The sequence below is a fragment of the Homo sapiens genome, chromosome 3 (genome assembly GCF_000001405.40).
Source record: "Homo sapiens chromosome 3, GRCh38.p14 Primary Assembly".
Taxonomy (NCBI): domain Eukaryota; kingdom Metazoa; phylum Chordata; class Mammalia; order Primates; family Hominidae; genus Homo; species Homo sapiens.
Genome location: NC_000003.12, coordinates 47,369,855 through 47,387,187, shown reverse-complemented (window position 1 = coordinate 47,387,187; position 17,333 = coordinate 47,369,855). Strand labels below are relative to the sequence as shown.

Here is a 17,333-nt window from a genome sequence, read left to right as displayed (position 1 = left end):
TCCTTGGTCCATGTCAGCAAGCCTGAAAGAAAACCGCCATAGGCCAAGAGTACTGGGGATAAAAACATACCTTCATCCTCCCCTTGTCTAATCCCTACAATAATACTCAAGGCCTCGTTCCCACATCTTTTCTGAATGGCCCCTTGCCTGTCTGAACAACACAGTGAGGAAGACTCAGGTTACCTCTCCCAGAAGGTCCTAGAACTAGACTAGGTCATTCAACCAATGCTTGTTAAGCACTCCCTATATACAAATATTTTATTACGTCCTGAGTAAAGGAAAGAATCTGGTCTAAACTCTAACTGAAATGGATATAGGCCTCTGGTGTATGAGATTCAAGTCAGAGAATAATGGACAATCCAGGTCATCTGTGCCTGGAGCTGTTCCGCTGCAAATACAAGTGAACAGACAGGCTCAGGCAACTGGGTGACTCCAAATCTGTGACAAGAGATAAGACAGGTCACCACCACAGGTAACAGGCAATGTCCCATGCCCCTCACTGCTGAGCAGCCAGAGGCCTTTTAGGCCTCTAGTCCTCTTATTTACCTTTCTATGTATGTGTCTGTGTATGTACATACATGTGCAAGCTAGTTTTTCAAGAGCCAGCCATCCCATGGAAAATCTGGAAGGGGAAAAAATTCCATAAGCCTGAAAAACCAGGCTTCTACCCGGATGTGAATAAAATGAACAGTAAAAAAAAGGCAACAAGAGTGTGCACTGTGGGCTGGGCACGGTAGCTCATGCCTGTAATCCCAACACTTTGGGAGACCGAGGTGGGCAGATCACTTGAGGTCAGGAGTTCGAGACCAGCCTAGCCAACACGGCGAAACCCCATCTCTATTAAAAATACAAAAATTGGTTGGGCGTGGTGGTACACCCCTGTAATCCCAGCTACTCGGGAGGCTGAGGCACAAGAACTGCTTGAACCCAGGAGGCAGAGGTTGCAGTGAGCCAAGATTGCACCATTTATACCCCAGCCTGGGTGACAGAGCGAGACTCTGTCTCCAAAAAAAAAGAAAAAAAAACCAGCGTGCACTCTGTGGTGCAGGCTAACCCAGTGGTGGACAGCAAGACAGTCTGAATTCAGAGGAGGGAAAAGTTCTTTCTTGTTTCTGGCCCAAACACTTGCTGGGTGGCTGAGAGGACCCTAATGACGTACAGTTCAACCCATGTGATAAACAGGAGGAAGGGAATTCCAGTAAGGGCCTGAGCAAGGGCAGTGACCAGATGTGGAAGGAAGAGAAGCTGAAAGTTCTCATAGGAGAGGACTGGGGAGTGAAGTTAGAGAGACAGGCTGAAGCAAGCTGGGGACAGGCCATGAGCAGCCTGATGGGAAAGTAGAGATTTAGAGATCAACTCAGCCAGAGTGGGAGGATGGGAGATGAAGAGAAGCCAAGTGACAGGCAGGGTGGCTACCAGCCAGATGTACACCTGCACTTGAGGATGAGGGTTACTGTGTAGATTACTAGGAGGTAAGTTTCATGAAGACAGGGTTTTGTGGTGTTTTTTTGGAGACAGGGTCTCACTCTGTCGCCCTGACTAGAGTACAGTGGTGTGATCTTGGCTCACTGTAACATCCACCTCTGGGTTCAAGTGATCCTCCCACCTCAGCCTCCTAAGTAGCTGGGCCTACAAGGCACGCACCACCATGCCCAGCTAATTTTTGTATTTTTAGTAGAGATGGGGTTTCATCATATTGGCCAGGCTGGTCTCAAACTCCTGGACTCAAGCAATCCACCTGCCTCAGCCTCCCAAAGTGCTGGGATTACAGGTTAGAACCACTGCTCCCAGCCAAGACACAGGTTTTTGTCACCACTGTACCCAGGGCTGGCACATGACAGGCACTCAATAACTATTTGTTCAATGAATGAATCAGGGATGAACGTAACAGCTCAGTCCAAGTAAGCTGGACTTGAGCTCAAGTACAGCTGGTTAAGGGCAAGTGTTTGGGCCAGAAAGAATAAAGAACTTCAAACAGAAATACCTGAGGCCAAATCACTCACTGATAAAGAGGACAAGAGTCATCCATCATCAGTTTCCAGTGAATCAGCACTCTGGCCTCCAAAGCACAAGTTAAGAAGATGCAAGGCCAGCAGCATTTCCCCACTAAAAAATTACGTGGGTCTGGCTGGGTGTGGCGGCTCATACCTGTAATCCCAGCACTTTGGGAGGCCGAGGCAGGCAGATCACCTGAGGTCGGGGGTTCAAGACCAGCCTGACTAACATGGAGAAACCCCGTCTCTACTAAAAATACAAAATTAGCCAGGCGTGGTGGCACATGCCTGTAATCCTAGCTACTTGGGAGGCTGAGGCAGGAGAATCGCTTGAACCCGGGAGGCAGAGGTTGTGGTGAGCCAAGATGGTGCCATTGCACTCCAGCCTGGGCAACGAAAGCAAAACTCCATCTAAAAAAAAAAAAAAATTCACACGGGTCCAATATCCTAACCTAAAGTTTGCCACTGCAGTTCAAAACCATCCTGTTTTTCTGGCTTCTATTTCACATTATGCCATAATGGAAGGCTTGTCTACTGGGAGTGAAAATCAATACTAGCCACCATGAAAGATTTGTCAAAAGCCCAGCCCTCTCAAACAACGAACCCCTTTACCTGTCTGGAAAACTCCTATTCATCCTTTAAAATCCATCTCTGGCAAGCCTTCCCTGATGGCCCCTCCTCAGGCTGGTATTTCTATACACTGCAAATACTTCTACTCTTTTTTTTTTTTTTTTTTTTGAGACAGTCTCGCTCTATCACCCAGGCTGGAGTGCAGTGGCACGATCCTGGCTCACTGCAAGCTCCGCCTCCCAGGTTCACGCCATTCTCCTGCCTCAGCCTCCCGACTACAGGCACCCGCCACTATGCCTGGCTAATTTTTTGTATTTTTAGTAGAGATGGGGTTTCACCGTGTTAGCCAGGATGGTCTTGATCTCCTGACCTCGTGATCTGCCCGCCTCGGCCTCCCAAAGTGCTGGGATTACAGGCGTGAGCCACCGCACCCGGCCTACAAATACTTCTACTCTTAATGTCATCACTATAATTTTTAAATTTCCTTTATGAATTCCTTGAAAAAAAAAAAAGGCTGTCTCTTACTTGTCTGCTTATCAAGGTTCAGCATAGTACTTAACCAGTTGATGTAAACAGAACCAATTTTCACCCTTCTATTCTAAATTAAATTCTAACCCTCAGCTCCAATTCACTGGCAGAGGTTCCCACAGCTCAGAGCAAGCATAAAGCAGGACAAGGGTGCCAGTGGCAGAAGGCAGAGAAGGGGCTCTGCAGTTGGGGAAGGGGGTGCAGGTTGGGAAGAGTCCCCAGGCTGCAGTGGTGTCTGCACAGTCTCCTCCAGTGTCTATAGGAGTAATTGTTTCATATCTGATACCACCTCGGGCTAAAGGGCTAATGAGCAACTCCTCTCCTGGAGGCCCAGGTGCATGGAGGGAAGTCACTGGTCACACAATACCCTTTGGGTCGGTGTGAATCGTCAGAGCAGCAAAGGCTAAGTTCAAACAAAAATACTTCCTAGGAGTTTCTGGGCCAAGATTTTATCTACTGCATTCCCATATATTTATGGTCACCATCTCTAAATTTCCGCTCAGCTGTAATTCAATCATTTGAGAAATATTTTTCTGACTGCCAACTATGTAGAGGGTACACTGTTAGGCTCTGGGGAACACAGAGATGCTTCTCAGGTAACACACACTTGAACAGGGGGGTTAAAACACAGCATACATAACTGTCACCAGGGAAAGGATGAAAAGAGTTAAGGAATTAAGAGAAGAGAAAGATTAATCCAGGTAGAAAGATTAAGAAAGGCTCTGCAGAAAGGAGAGCTTAAGTAGACCTTGAAAGTTGGATGGGAGACAAGAAAATGGAATTCACGGAGATTGAAGAAGGGCACCTCACCACCCCACAGGGCAAAATGAGACCTCTTCTAGGCAGGAGGAATTCCATGACCAACGGCACAGAAGAGGAAACAGAGTATGGTAAGGAAACAGCAAGTGACTGAGAACAGAATCTAGGGTACCTCTATCAGATGCACACAGTAGATGAAGCACACAGTGGGGACTCAATAAATGCTGAAAGAAGTGGGATAAGTCTGGAAGAACTCTAATGGAAAACTAAAGATACTGGCTCTATTCCAAGACTCCGTCTCCAAAAAAAAGATACCGGATCTATTCTGTAAAACAGAAAACAGGAGTTTTGGCCAGGCGCGGTGGCTCATGCCTATAATCCCAGCACTTTGGGAGGCCAAGGTGGGTGGATCACGGGTCGGGAGATCGAGACTATCCTGGCTAACACGATGAAACCCCCTCTCCACTAAAAATACAAAAAATTAGGCAGGGGTGGTGGCGGGTGCCTGTAGTCCCAGCTACTTGGGAGGCTGAGGCAGGAGAATGGCGTGAACCCGGGAGGCGGAGCTTGCAGTGAGCTGAGATTGCGCCACTGCACTCCAGCCTGGGTGACAGAGTGAGACTCCGTCTCAAAAAAAAAAAAAAAAAAAAAAAAAAGAAAAGAAAAAGAAAACAGGAGTTCTGTTGTGTCTTAGAAAAATTCATCCAATTGTATTTGTATGAAACAGCAGATGAAGGCCTGTAATCCCAGCACTTTGGGAGGCCGAGGCAAGCGGATCACCTGATGTCAGGAGTTCGAGACCAGTCTGACCAACATGGCAAAACCCCATCTCTAATAAAAATACAAAATTAGCCGGGCATGGTGGCGCATGCCTGTAATTCCAGCTACTTGGAAGGCTGAGGCAGGAGAATCGCTTAAACCCGGGAGGCTGACGTTGCGGTGAGCCGAGATCGTGCCATTGCACTCCAGCCTGGGCAACAAGAGCGAAACTCCGTCTCAAAAAAAAAAAAAAAGGTAGGAAAAAGAAACAGCAGATGAAGAAGAGAGCAACGTCTGGATAACCGTTAACAAAATTCTAGAATTTTGGATCAATTACCCTCATTTCCTGGCCCCAAGAGGCTAGATGATGGACTCAAACACTGTCTGAACTAAGGCAATGGTGTATGGCGATTAGAGGGGAGACAGCTTCTTGGGAAACTACTTCCAAACCCATTTTCTTTTTCCTATTTGTCTTCCCAAGCGTCTCGCTAAGTGGTGCACCATCTAGATTGGGGCTTACTCTGGCATCTGCTGTGCTAAGCCCACAAGGCCCCCCACCTGCGACGGCCTCCTGGTTGTTCCTTTTCATTTCTGCTCTAGCCCTCAGTGCTACCAATACAGCGGATGTCTCGGAGGGCACCTGTGTTCAATCACCACACCTGAACCTCTCCACAGAAGTTCCTTGCCTTAGTCAACGCCAAACCTGCCCGTCTGTTCTTCCAACACAGTAAGATTTCTCTGAGCTCTACAACACTGTTTATGCCCTCCAGTCGGTTACGAAAAGCAGTAACCCTCCTAAAAATGTCGTGGGATTGTATTGTTTGGTCCAAAGAGACTCCCGAATGGGAGACCATACAGAATCGCAGCAATTGTAAAACAAACCCTCACCGCAGGGGTCGGGCATCTCCCTGGGCCACCGGGGCTCACGTCTTAAACACACGCCCCTGAGCCATCCCCAGTGTCTGTCCCAGGCGGGCGTGGACTTGACAGCGCACCGAGGGCCGGGCGCAGCAAAAGAATCCGCACGGTCAGGGCCGCCCACCGCTCCCGCGCGGGGCGGTCCTGGCATGGAGGAGGGGCGGGGCAGAACTGGGTCCGAGCGTCAGAAGGAGGAAGTGTGCTGCCTCAGTGGGAACAGCGGATGACTCGGGGCAGAAGTCGGGAACCGGGTTCAGATGAAGATGCAGGTGCTAGCACGGGGCTATCGGGGAGGAGAAGAATGGCCTGCGGGCGCCGGGGTGTGGGACAGGCTGAGGAAAACCGGCGAAGGCCCCTCCTGGCCTCACCGGACCCTGCGACCGGGCCTGAGGAGGTGATGGGCGCGCAGGGGGGCGTCACGCGCTTGCAGACGACGGAGATACGCGGCGGATAGGGGGGAAGATGGAAGGCAAGCTCACCTTCTTCACAGCTGGCTGGAAGTGAAAGTCACCGGCCTCCTTCAGGTCCAGCCAGATCATGGGCATGCGGGGCACGGCCTCCATGGCGGCTGGCACCCGCCGGCCACCCGGCCACTCCCGTAGCTGCTGCAGCTGCTGGCTCAGCCACGAGCCCAGCCCCGCCCCTTCGTGCCGGAAGTCACTGGTCACGGGAGGGAATGAAAAATGCCAGCGGCCTGCCGGGAGTTGCAGTGAACCCAGCCACCCGCTCGCGTAGTCTTTTGCGCAGGCGCTGTCCCTGTTGCGCATGCTCAGTCTTCTTCGCGCGGAGGGAGTAGGGCGGGGAGGAGCTCGCCAGCCCGAGGCGAAACGGCTTCTGGGATAGTAGTCTTCATCCACTAAACTGAGAGGCGCGGAGCGAGCTTATTCCCCGCTCCCGGGCCAAGCCCAGCTGCGGGTCCCGCCCGCCGCGCTCCTCCCTCCTAGGAAGAGCATGAGACCTCACCTATGAACTTGCCCTCCCACGTATTGTCAAGAGCCGTGGAGGACTGGTGCTGTGGTAGAGATGACGTGGCGGGCGGGCCGCTGGAAAGAGATGACGCGAAAACGGGCCTTAGAGAGGGTGCGGAGGGAGCACCTGGCCTGAAGGAGTCGGGGCTGAGAGCTGGGGGTTTCAGTCCCAGTGCTGCGAAGGCTTTCGAGCTTTGGAACAGAATCACTGACCGGAGACTGGCCTACTCAGCCCAGCCTGGGAGGCCGGGCAGTGCCCAAGGGAGACGGACGATAGGGAGGGAGCGCCTGGATGGAGGGTCTCAAGCGGAGTGAGGAGGCCCCGGGCCCTGTGGGGAAGTGGGTGGGGGAAGGTATACGGCCAGGTGAGCACCCAGGGACGCCCACAGTATCTGGAAGGAGACCACGGAATGGAGAGCACCTGTTGCCTCTGGAGAGGGGACCTATAGAGCAGGAATTGTTAAATCATATGGCTGTATCACCTACTTTTAGAAATAAATAATAGGCTACTCGGGAGGCTGAGGCTGGAGGTTCAATCGCTTGACCTGGGAGGCGGAGATTGCGGTGAGCCTAGATCTTGCCACTGCTCTCCAGCCTGAGCGACAGAGCGAGACTCCGTCTCAAAATAATAATAGTAACAATAGAAATAACAGAGAATGGCCTGGAGATAGTGAGTGCAAAAGTGCGAGCTGGGAGATCAGTGAGCCTTTTGTAGTCTTCCAGGAGACAGGTGATTGTGGCTTGGAGCAGAGGGAAGTAAAAAGTGAGCAAAGAAATATTTTGCCCACTTTGAGAAATATTTGAGGAATATTTTGGAGACAAAAGTATCAGAACTTGGAATGGATGGATGTAAGGGCATGAGGACGTCGAATATGATTTCCAAGCTTCTGGCTTGTGCAGGTGGGTGGCTGTGGGGCTGTTTACTGATAAGGGAAAACAAGGGAAGAGCAAAGGTTCAGGTCCGTGTTAAGCTCGAGGTCAAGGCCTTTGACTCGTTCTGGATGAAATGTGGAGACCACGATGCCGGGTGCGGTGGTTCACGCTTGTAATCCCATCACTTTGGGAGGCCGAGGCGGGCGGATCGCTTAAGCCCGGGAGTTCAAGACCAGCCTAGCCCACATGGCCAAACCCCGTCCCTACAAAAAATATAAAAATTAGCAGGACATGGTGGCTCATGTACGCCTGTAGTCCCAGCTACTCAGGAGGCTGAGGCGGGAGGAACCTTGAGCCCGGGAGGCAGAGGTTGCAGTGAGCCGTGATTGTGCCATTGTACTCCAGCCTGGGCGACAAAAGTGAAACCATGTGTTAAAAAAAAAAAAAAGAAAAGAAAAAGAAAAATTATGGAGACCGTGGGATGTGGGTGGGATCTGGGATTCTAAGACAGGCTTCACCCACAAGGTAGAGCCCAGGTCCCTTTGTTGTGAGACCTCAAACCCTTTCAAGACTTAGTCAAGGGCCTAGCTTCATTCCAGTTGGAGTTAGAGCAGAAGAAAATGAAATTACATGAATGTTCATAGCAGTACCATTTCACAGTAGCCAAAAGAGAAGCAATCCATGCAGTGATGGATGGATGCATGAATAAAGATGATGTGTGTACATACAATGGAATATTATTCAGCCTTAAAAAGGAATGAAATTCTGTTACATGCTGCAACATGAATGAACCCTGAAGACATTATGCTAAGTGAAATAAGCCAGTTGCAAAAGGACAAATACTGTATTCTGCTTATCTGAGATACCTAGTTAGTCAGAGTTATGGAGACAGAAAGTAGAATGGTGTCTGTTGGGCTAGGGGAGGGGAGAATGGAGAGTTACTGTTTAATGGCTGTATAACAATCTGAACAATTTAATGCCACTGAACTGTATGCTTGAAATTGTAAACTTTGTGGCTGGGCACGGTAGCTCACACCTGTAATTCCAGCACTTTGGGAGGCCAAGGCGAGTGGATCGCCTGATTTGGGAGTTCAAGACCAGCCTGACCAACAGGGAGAAACCCCATCTCTACTAAAAATGCAAAATTAGCCGGGCCTGATGGTGCATGCCTGTAATCCCAGCTACTCGGGAGGCTGAGGCAGGAGAATCGCTGAACCCGGGAAGCGGAGGTCGCGGTGAGCCAAGATTTGTGCCATTGCACTCCAGCCTGGGCAACAAAGAGCGAAACTCTGTCTCAAAAAAAAAAAAGAAAAATTGTAAACTTTGTTAGGTATATTTTACCACAGTTTAAAAAAAATAAAATATAAGACCTTGCAAATAATTTATTTAAAGAGAAAGAAAAATTTTGCCAGTTCTTCCAGCATCTTAGAAGAGCTTGTTTCTGGAAGACTTTTTTTTCTTTGAGACAGAGTCTTGCTCTGTTTGCCCAGGCCAGAGTGCAATGGTGTGATGTCGGCTCACTGCAGCCTTGGCCTCCTGAGCTCACTCAATTCTCCAACCTCAGCCTCCCTAGTGGCTGGAGTACAGGCGTGTGCCACCAGGCCTGGCTAATTTTTTCTTGTATTTTTTGTAGAGATGGGTTTTTGCCATGTTGCCCAGGCTGGTCTTGAACTCCTAGGCTCAAGCAATCTGCCTGTCTCAGCCTCCCAAAGTGCTGGGATTACAGACAAGAGCCACTGCGCCCAGCCTGGAAGACCATCTTGAGGTCACCTGGACAGAGATAGAGAAATTTTGGGCAAAGCTGGGCATGGTGGCTCACGCCTGTAATCCCAGCACTTTTGGAGGCCAAGGCGGGCGGATCACTTGAGGTCAGGAGTTCAAGACCAACCTGGCTAATATAGTGAAACTCCACCTCTACTAAAAATACAAAAATTAGCTGGGTGTGGTGGCGTGTGGCTGTAGTCCCAGCTACTAGGGAGGCTGAGGCAAGACAATCGCTTGAACCTGGGAGGTGGAGGTTGCAGTGAGCCAAGATTGCACGACTGCACTCCAGCCTGGGTGACAGAGCAAGACTCTGTCTCAAAACAAACACAAGAAAGAAAGTATGGGAAGGCCTACAACCTGCAAAACTGCCCGAACACAATTTGTAGTAAGTAAAATACAAAAGCATAAAGCAGCCTACCTTGGGGCTTTCTGATGGTGAGGCAGTGGTCAGCCATGAGGGAGCTGCAAGACCTAGGCACAACAGCTGAGTCCAGAGCAGGCTGGGAATTGGGAGACTACATCATAGCATTACTGAGCAAAGAAGCAGGCGGCTGCTTGGCCACAGGACACAGACAGCCCAGGACCCAAACTTGAGGCCAGCAAGGGGTCAGGATTAAGCTGTTGCAGTTCAGTATGGGCTGGAACAGGAAGTGAGAGAGGAAGGGGAGAAGTAGGAAGCCCTAAATTGGGCCTTGCAAGACAGAGAAGACCTATAGAGATGGGCATTCCAGGCAGGTGGAATTGCAGATGCAAGAGGGAGCTCTGGCGAGGCTCCAGGATTCAGGAGAGCTGGGCAGATGGGTCCCTATCTCATGAGCTTCCTACAGTGATAGCTTTGGCCCTACTGCCTTTCCTTCCCCTGGCCTCTACTCCCGAGGTGGAATGGGAACACCTTGTCCCCACATGGTGCTTCTGGAGTTGAACTACAACAAAAGAAATAAAGTATTCTGTGAGTTCCAGGGTGTATTCATTTGCTAGAGTGGCCATAGGAAAGTACCACATACTGAGTAGGTTAAGCAGAAATGTATTTCCTCACAGTTCTGGAGGCTAGAGGTCTGAGATAAGGTATTAGTAGAGTTGGTTTCTTCTGAGGCCTCTCTCTTTGGCTTGTTAATGGCCATCTTATCCCTGGGCCTGGTGACCCTGCCTTTAAACTCAGTCACATTCTGAGGTACTGGAGGTTAGGACTTCAAACATGAAATGAGGAGTAATGGAGGGGGCACATTTAGCCCATAACACAGGGTCACAGTGACATGAAGGGCAATTGGTGTGAAAGGCATCAAAGACCAAGAGGACCTTCACAGGCCTTGAATGCTGAGGGCGGGGATGGGTTGGTGGAGGTGAGACAGCAGAAAGGGTGACTCCGGGGCAGGGAGTGCCCTCCTAACATGTATTTCCAGGCAGGGTTGGGAGTTAGAAGCCTAAGACTTGATGGTCCTGGGGAAGAGTCTGCCTCATCACGAGGGGGCAGCACACCCTTTTCTCAAGACAGCCTCCCCATCACACCCAGCAGAGTTGGATGGGCCCTTAAAAACACACACACCCTTCCCCATTTTACCAATGTAGAAACCCAGGCCTGGACTGGGGAGGGGACCACCCAAAGTCTCAACAAGTGAATATACATGAGTCTGGGCTGCACTTTGGGAGGCAGAGGCAGAGGCAAACAGATCACCTGAGGTCAGGAGTTCAAGATCAGCTTTGCCAACATGGTGAAACTCCATCTCTACTAAAAAATACAAACATTAGCCAGGCATGGTGGCGGGCACCTGTAATCCCAGCTACTTGGGAGGCTGAGGCAGGGGAATCGCTTGTACCCGGGAGGCAGAGGTTGCAGTGAGCTGAGATCATGCCACTGCACTCCAGACTGGGGACAGAGCGAGACTCTGTCTCAAAAAAAAAAAAAAAAAAAAAAAAAAAAGAGTCTGGGCTGGGCATGAGTCTCATCTCTCTCAGTTCTTTTATTCAACAAATATTTATTCAACACCCACAGTGTCCTAGACATTTGTTCTAGGTGCTGTTGATCAAAACAGGTAAAGAGCTCTGCCCACATGAGGTCCCATTTTAGGGAGGGACATAGACATTAACACAATAAAGAATAGACAGTATGTTAGATGGCAACAACTGTTGTGGTTGGAAGAAAATCAAACGGAGAGGAAGGTGGGAGTATAGGTAGGGGACAATGCAATTTTATATTGGGTGGTCAGGGGAGGCTTCACTGAGAAGATACTATTTGAGCGGAGATCTGAACGAAGTGAAGGAGCAAGACAGGGCATAACTAGGGGAAGTATGTTTCAGAAAGGGGGAACAGCAAATGCAAAGTTCTTGAACCAGGACTGTGTCTGGCATACCTGAAGAACAGCAGGGAGGCCAGAGTGTCTGCGGTCGAGTGAGTGTGTAGAATAGAGGAGATGGAGTCACAGAGGCAATGAGGAGGGGTGAGGTGAGGGGTTGCAGATGGAGTGGGGTGGTTGCAGATGGAGTTGGGTCTCGAAGACCATGATGAGGACGTGGGTTTTCTTTGGACAAGCTGGGGAACCATGGGGAGGGTTTGAATAGACCTAGGGATATGATCTGGCCTAAGTTTGTTTAAGGGTTACATAGACTGAGTAGGGGATTAGAGGAAGAGCCCTACCAAGGATTCCTAAGACAACACTCTGGGCTCTGTAGAGGGGAGAGTGGAGACAGGAGGACTGTGTCACTCAGATCTAGCTTTCAGGGTCGTCATAGTCAGATCTTGGTCTGGACACACGCAAGAGACATGAAGGAGACTTTTGAAAGGAACATACCCTTGTGGTTTGCGGTATTCAGGCCAGTCAAGGGGGCCAGATCACCCCCACAGAATGGGGTGGGGATAGTGTGAAACCAGAGGGGACAGAGAGCCTAATGGGGCTAGTGAGGAGGGAAGGTTTCCTGGAACCTGGAAGAGGAGATGTGATCCATAGGCTCAGTGCAATTCCTGCCAAACTCCCAAGTTTTTTTGTGAGAAAGTTGGCATACTGTTTTTCAAATTTATATGGAAAAGCAAAGACCGCAGAAGAGCCTAGACAATCTATCTCTCTTTTTTTTTTTATTTTTTTGAGAGACAAGGTCTTGGTCTGTTGCCCAGGCTGGAGTGCAGTGGCATGATCCTAGCTCACTGCAGCCTGAAACTCCTAGGCTGAAGTACTCCACTGGTCTCAGCCTCCTAAGTAGCTAGGACTACAGGTGTGTGCCACCATGCCTGGCTAATTTTTAAATTTTTTATGGAGAAGGGTCTTGCTATGTTGCCCAGGCTGTTCTCAAACTCTGGCCTTCAGTAATCCTCCTGCCTTAGCTTCCCAAAGTACTGGGATTATAGACATGAGCTACTGTGCCCAGCCACTAGACAGTCTTGAAGAGAAACAAAATGAGCAGACTTGTTTTACCAGATATCTAGGCCTGCTAGAAAGCTGAGTAATTGGGACAGTGTGGGTGTTTGTTCAGGAATGCAACATTAGACCCTCAGAACTGAACAGAAAACCCAGAAATAGACCCAAGGCATCCACATCTACTTAATGGACTCAGAGGTAGTATTGCAGGCCAGTGAGGAAGGATGGCTACTGAATAAATGATGCAGGCTAACTGGTCATCCATATGAAAAAAACAAAAAACAAAAAAACAAATTGGAGTCTGTTACAGGTTGAATTGTTCCCCTTAAAAGATATATTGAAGCCTTGGCATCCCCCACCAGTATCTGTGAATATGGCCTTATTTGGAAATAAGGTCTTTGTAGATATAATCAAATTAAGGTGAGGTCATACTGGATTAAGTAGGTTCTAATCAGGCCAAGCACAGTGGGGCTCACGCCTGTAATCCCAGCACTTTGGGAGGCCAAGGTGGGTGGATCACAAGGTCAGGAGTTCAAGACCAGCCTGGCCAAGATGGTGAAACCCCGTCTCTACTAAAAATACAAAAACTAGCCGGGCATGGTCGCAGGCGCCTGTAATCCCAGCTACTTGGGAGGCTGAGGCAGGAGAATCACTTGAACACGGGAGACAGAGGTTGCACTGAGCTGAGATTGTGCCACTGCACTCCAGCCTAGGCTACAAGAGAGACTCCGTCACAAAACAAACAAACAACCAAAAGCCAACTAATAGATGTATGAGGTATGAGGAAGGATAAAATTAGAAAATCACTATTTGGCAGCCATATTAATAATTCGACAAAAATCATCAATGGACATAAAAACCAGTAGACTTGAGAAATAAACTAATAGGGTAATTACACAGTCCATGGTATCTCCCCTAGATACTTAATAATCACAAAGGGAAAAACAGTAGCTTTATATGGAGAAACTTAGTAGACCTCATCTTACTCACGTGATGAAGTTTAATGTCACCAGCAATGAGAGAAATCTAGATCATGTGCCTTCTGGTATGATGCTCTGAGGACACAGTACCCAAAACGCATTACCTTAATCTAATCACGAAGAAACATTAGATAATCCCAAATTGAAGGACATCCTATAAAAGAACTGGTCTATCATCTCCAAAAAGTCAGTCTTATGAAACACAAAGAAATACTATTCTAGATTAAAGTATAAAGAAACATAGACATAACCTCTTTAGCATACTAAAGAAGTGTAACACATGATATGGGATGTTCTTTTTGTTCTGAGGAAGCGGTCCCCAAACTTTTTGGGACCAGGGACCGCTTTCATGGAAGACGATTTTTCCGTGGATGAGGGGCAGGGGATGGTTTCAGGATGAAGCTGTTCCACCTCAGATCATCTCTCATAAGGAGCACACAACCTAGATCCCTCACCTGTGCAGTTCACAGCAGGATTTGCACTCCTATGAGAATCTAATGCAGCTGATCTGACAGGAGGTGGAGCTCAGGTGGTAATGCTTGCCACCCACCACTCACCTCGGCTCCAAGGGACATTACTAGTATGAGTGATGAAATCTGAATAAAGTCTGTAGATTAGATAATGGTAGTGTTTCAGTGTTAATTTCCTGAATTTGACAGTTGTTCTGTGGTAATGTTTACATATAGGATAATGTTCTTGTTTTTAAGAAATATACACCAGGCCAGGTGCAGTGGCTCACATCTGTAATCCCAGCACTTTGGGAGGCCAAGGCAGGCAGATCACTTGAGGTCAGGAGTTCGAGACCAGCCTGGCCAACATGGTGAAACCCCATCTCTTCTAAAAATACAAAAATTAGTCAGGTGTGGTGGTGTGTGCCTGTAATCCCGGCTACTCAGGAGGCTGAGGCAGGATAATCACTTGAACCCAGGAGATTGCAGTGAGTAGACATTGCACCACTGCATTCTTGGGCAACAAGAGTGAAACTCCATCTAAAAACAAAAATGAAATATACACTGAAGTATTTAGGAGTAAAAAGGCAGTATTCTGCCCCTTACTCCCAAGTGACTTGGGGCTCAGGGAAGGGGAGGGGAGATATGTGTGTATATATGGGGGCACTGAAAGAAAGAGAGAGGGACACAAATGTCAAATGTTAACATTTGGGGAACTGGGGTAAAGGGTATGAAGAAATTCTTTGCACTATTCATGCAACTTTTCGATGTAAGTCTGAGATTATGTCAAAATAAAAAGTTAAAAAGAAAAACAGGACATCATAAAGAAAATGAACAGACAAGACCAAATTGGGAGAAGATATTTGTGAGACATAATCAAAAAAGGATTACCATTAAGGATATGTAAAAAAGTCTGATGAGTTCTCAAGAGAGACAAACAATCCAATGGACAAATGGGCACACAACTTGGATGGGAACTTACAGGAACAGCCAAAACCACATGGAAAGATGTCCAACCTCATCAGTAACCAGGAAAATGCAAACCCCAACTACACTGAAATGCCACTTGATAGTCATCAGAATGATGAGTATACATCTGTCAATAATAAGTGTTGGTGAGATGGGGCTGTAGATAGGGCTGTGAATTGGTGCCACCATTTTGGAAAACTGGCCTTATTTAGCCAAGTTGACACTATCAGCCCCTGTGACCTGCTGGGTGCCTGTATACCGTTGAAAGACTCCTGTGTACAGCACCAGGAGCTGTGTCAGAAAGGAATAGTCATAGCCACCCAAACAGGAAACATGGAGTCCTCCCCTGCTGCCATCTCCCATGTATGAGAATCCAGAACCACTGCATTACAGGTGGGGAAACTGAGGTGTGCGATGGGAAAGGGGCTGTCCAAAACACCACGTGGGCTCTGAGGGAGGGCCAGAAGAGAGGTTAGCTGTGGCAGGAGAAGTGGGGAGGAGGATAAGAGAAGGCAAAAGGGGGAAGGGGAGCTCTCTTGGTCTCACACTTGGCAGAGTGGAGGCCAGAGCAGGAAGCATCCCCATCTTATTCCTTCCCTCCCAGCCACCAGCCAGGATCCTAGAGGTCGGGGAGGGGCCTCTGAGGCAGCCCTCTTCCACTGGCCTAGAAAGCAGTGGGGACCTTCCCCGTCAGAGCAGAAAAAAGGCTGCTCAGTGGTGCAGCACTCCTCTTCCCTCCAGAGGGTCCCAGACCCTCCAGGAACTCTAGGAGCGCTGGGCACATTCTCCCTAGGAAAGGATCCAACATCCCGGGTTTGCAAATATTCAGGAAGGTTGGAAGCCTCTGAATCCATCCACAAAATCACAACCCTTCCCCAGCTCCCAGCCTAGGGGTTGGGGGGCCGGCGGCGGGGTGGGGGTGGGGGGGAGGGGGTCACTTGGCCAGCAGATGGCGCCAAGGCCACAGTGTTGCCACAACACAGCCACAATCCTGGGGTGCCTTTGGCTGCACAAAAACACACCCACATATTTAAAATCAGGGCTTTTTGTTGCTCAGGACCAGATTTAATTCTTATGCAAGTGGCCCTTTGGTACCAGTGTCTGTGAAAGGAAAGGTAGCAATGGAGAATTTATTCCTCTCCTGGCTGGTACAAACTCCCAAGTTCAGGCCACTGAAAGGAAGGAAGGGCCTCCGGGGCGGATGGGGCCTTCGGGATTGCCCAGGTACACCCTCCGAGGTTGTCTGGTGCCAGGCAGTGAGCTACAGCACAGCAGAACATGGTGGAACTTTGAGACATCCTCGCCTTTGCAGTGAGACCCTGCAGGCTGGCTGGGCAGCACCCTCTTGAGGGTGCCAAAGCCACTGGGTCAGGACTGGGATCACCTGTGGGACTCTCAGATGCAAAGCCTTCCTAGTCAAGGTCTCTGTCTCCATGGGTAATAGAGTGACTTGTATCCACCATTTGGGTTTTGGAACATCAGGTGGTGCCCCATGTGGCCCCACTGTGGCCACAGCCGCTTTCTTCACCCCATTCGACTTGTGCAGGCCGCTTAGGCAAGGGTTCCTAGAATCTGTGCCCGCCTCCTGGCTACTTCATTATAGCAAAGAGAAGCTGCCACTGAGGTCCGGGGCTTACACAGGCCCACCAGGGTTCTTTCATCACAGTTCTTCAGCCCTTGTGAAAGCTTTTTGCTTCAGCCATCTTCTCAAGGGAGGTGTAGAGGCTTTGGGGACATCCAAAAGGAGTCACAGGTCTCAGCTGCCTGTAGTGCTGGCTCTGTGCGGAGAAGATGGAAGTAATAACTGTGGAGCGGAACCACTCACCTGAAAGGGATCTTTCATCTCCTGCAGGTGAAGACTTTTCCCAGGGTGAGGTAGGGGAATCCACTTCCGGCTCTCTGCACCTTCCAGCTGTCACCCAACCTCAGGCCCCAGGGTCAAGTCCCATGTGGGTGGGTCTCGGAGAAAGCTCTTCCTGGGTGCCTGGAATCCTGCCCTCGCCTTCTGCAGCTCAGGCCCCAGCAGCCAAACCAACATCAGACTGCCGCTCCTCCTCTGACTGCCGCTCCTCCTCTGACTGCCGCTCCTCCTCTGACTGCCGCTCCTCCTCTGACTGCGAGCAGAGCAGCCTGGGTGTGTGACACTACCCTGGGGTGGATCCCCAGCACCTCCACTTACCAGCTCTGTGCCTGGGTCCTGTTTTTGTTGTTGTTGTTGTTGTTGTTTTTGAGATGGAGTTTCACTCTTGTTGCCCAGGCTGGAGTGCAGTGGTGTGATCTCAGATCACCACAACCTCCATCTCCTGGGTTCAAGTGATTCTCCTGCCTCAGCCTCCTGAGTAGCTGGGATTACAGGTGCTCGCCACCACGCCCGGCTAATTTTTTTTTTTTTTTTGTATTTTTAGTAGAGACGGGGTTTCACCATGTTGGCCAGGCTGGTCTCGAACTCCTGACC

General features: G+C 49.4%; 1 protein-coding gene and 1 long non-coding RNA gene across 4 annotated transcripts in view, besides 4 other annotated features; one reads left to right on the top strand and one right to left on the bottom strand.

Annotated features, from left to right (window-relative positions):
- The window catches only part of PTPN23 (protein tyrosine phosphatase non-receptor type 23), a 32,415-nt gene extending 26,248 nt beyond the window's left edge, over positions 1-6,167 (bottom strand). For all 3 annotated transcript variants that reach the window (NM_015466.4, XM_005265031.3, NM_001304482.2), the window contains exon 1: positions 6,008-6,167. In NM_015466.4, coding sequence (NP_056281.1) covers positions 6,008-6,091 — 84 coding nt within the window. In that variant the 5' untranslated portion in view covers positions 6,092-6,167. The remainder of the gene's footprint in view (positions 1-6,007) is intronic.
- Positions 5,428-6,103: an enhancer, noted in NCBI's record as "H3K27ac hESC enhancer chr3:47422575-47423250 (GRCh37/hg19 assembly coordinates)". NCBI's record gives its function as "activates a minimal SCP1, AML or CMV promoter by ChIP-STARR-seq in naive H9 embryonic stem cells {active_cell/tissue: H9 hESC(naive)}" and the evidence as "EXISTENCE:reporter gene assay evidence [ECO:0000049][PMID:30033119]".
- Positions 5,696-8,096, top strand: PTPN23-DT (PTPN23 divergent transcript). The gene has a single exon (NR_185912.1). It is a non-coding gene; the product is annotated as a PTPN23 divergent transcript (long non-coding RNA).
- Positions 6,104-6,781: an enhancer, noted in NCBI's record as "H3K27ac-H3K4me1 hESC enhancer chr3:47421897-47422574 (GRCh37/hg19 assembly coordinates)". NCBI's record gives its function as "activates a minimal SCP1, AML or CMV promoter by ChIP-STARR-seq in naive H9 embryonic stem cells {active_cell/tissue: H9 hESC(naive)}" and the evidence as "EXISTENCE:reporter gene assay evidence [ECO:0000049][PMID:30033119]".
- Positions 6,145-6,364: an enhancer, noted in NCBI's record as "active region_19814". NCBI's record gives its function as "activates an Ori minimal core promoter by ATAC-STARR-seq in GM12878 lymphoblastoid cells {active_cell/tissue: GM12878}" and the evidence as "EXISTENCE:reporter gene assay evidence [ECO:0000049][PMID:35858748]".
- Positions 6,535-6,594: an enhancer, noted in NCBI's record as "active region_19813". NCBI's record gives its function as "activates an Ori minimal core promoter by ATAC-STARR-seq in GM12878 lymphoblastoid cells {active_cell/tissue: GM12878}" and the evidence as "EXISTENCE:reporter gene assay evidence [ECO:0000049][PMID:35858748]".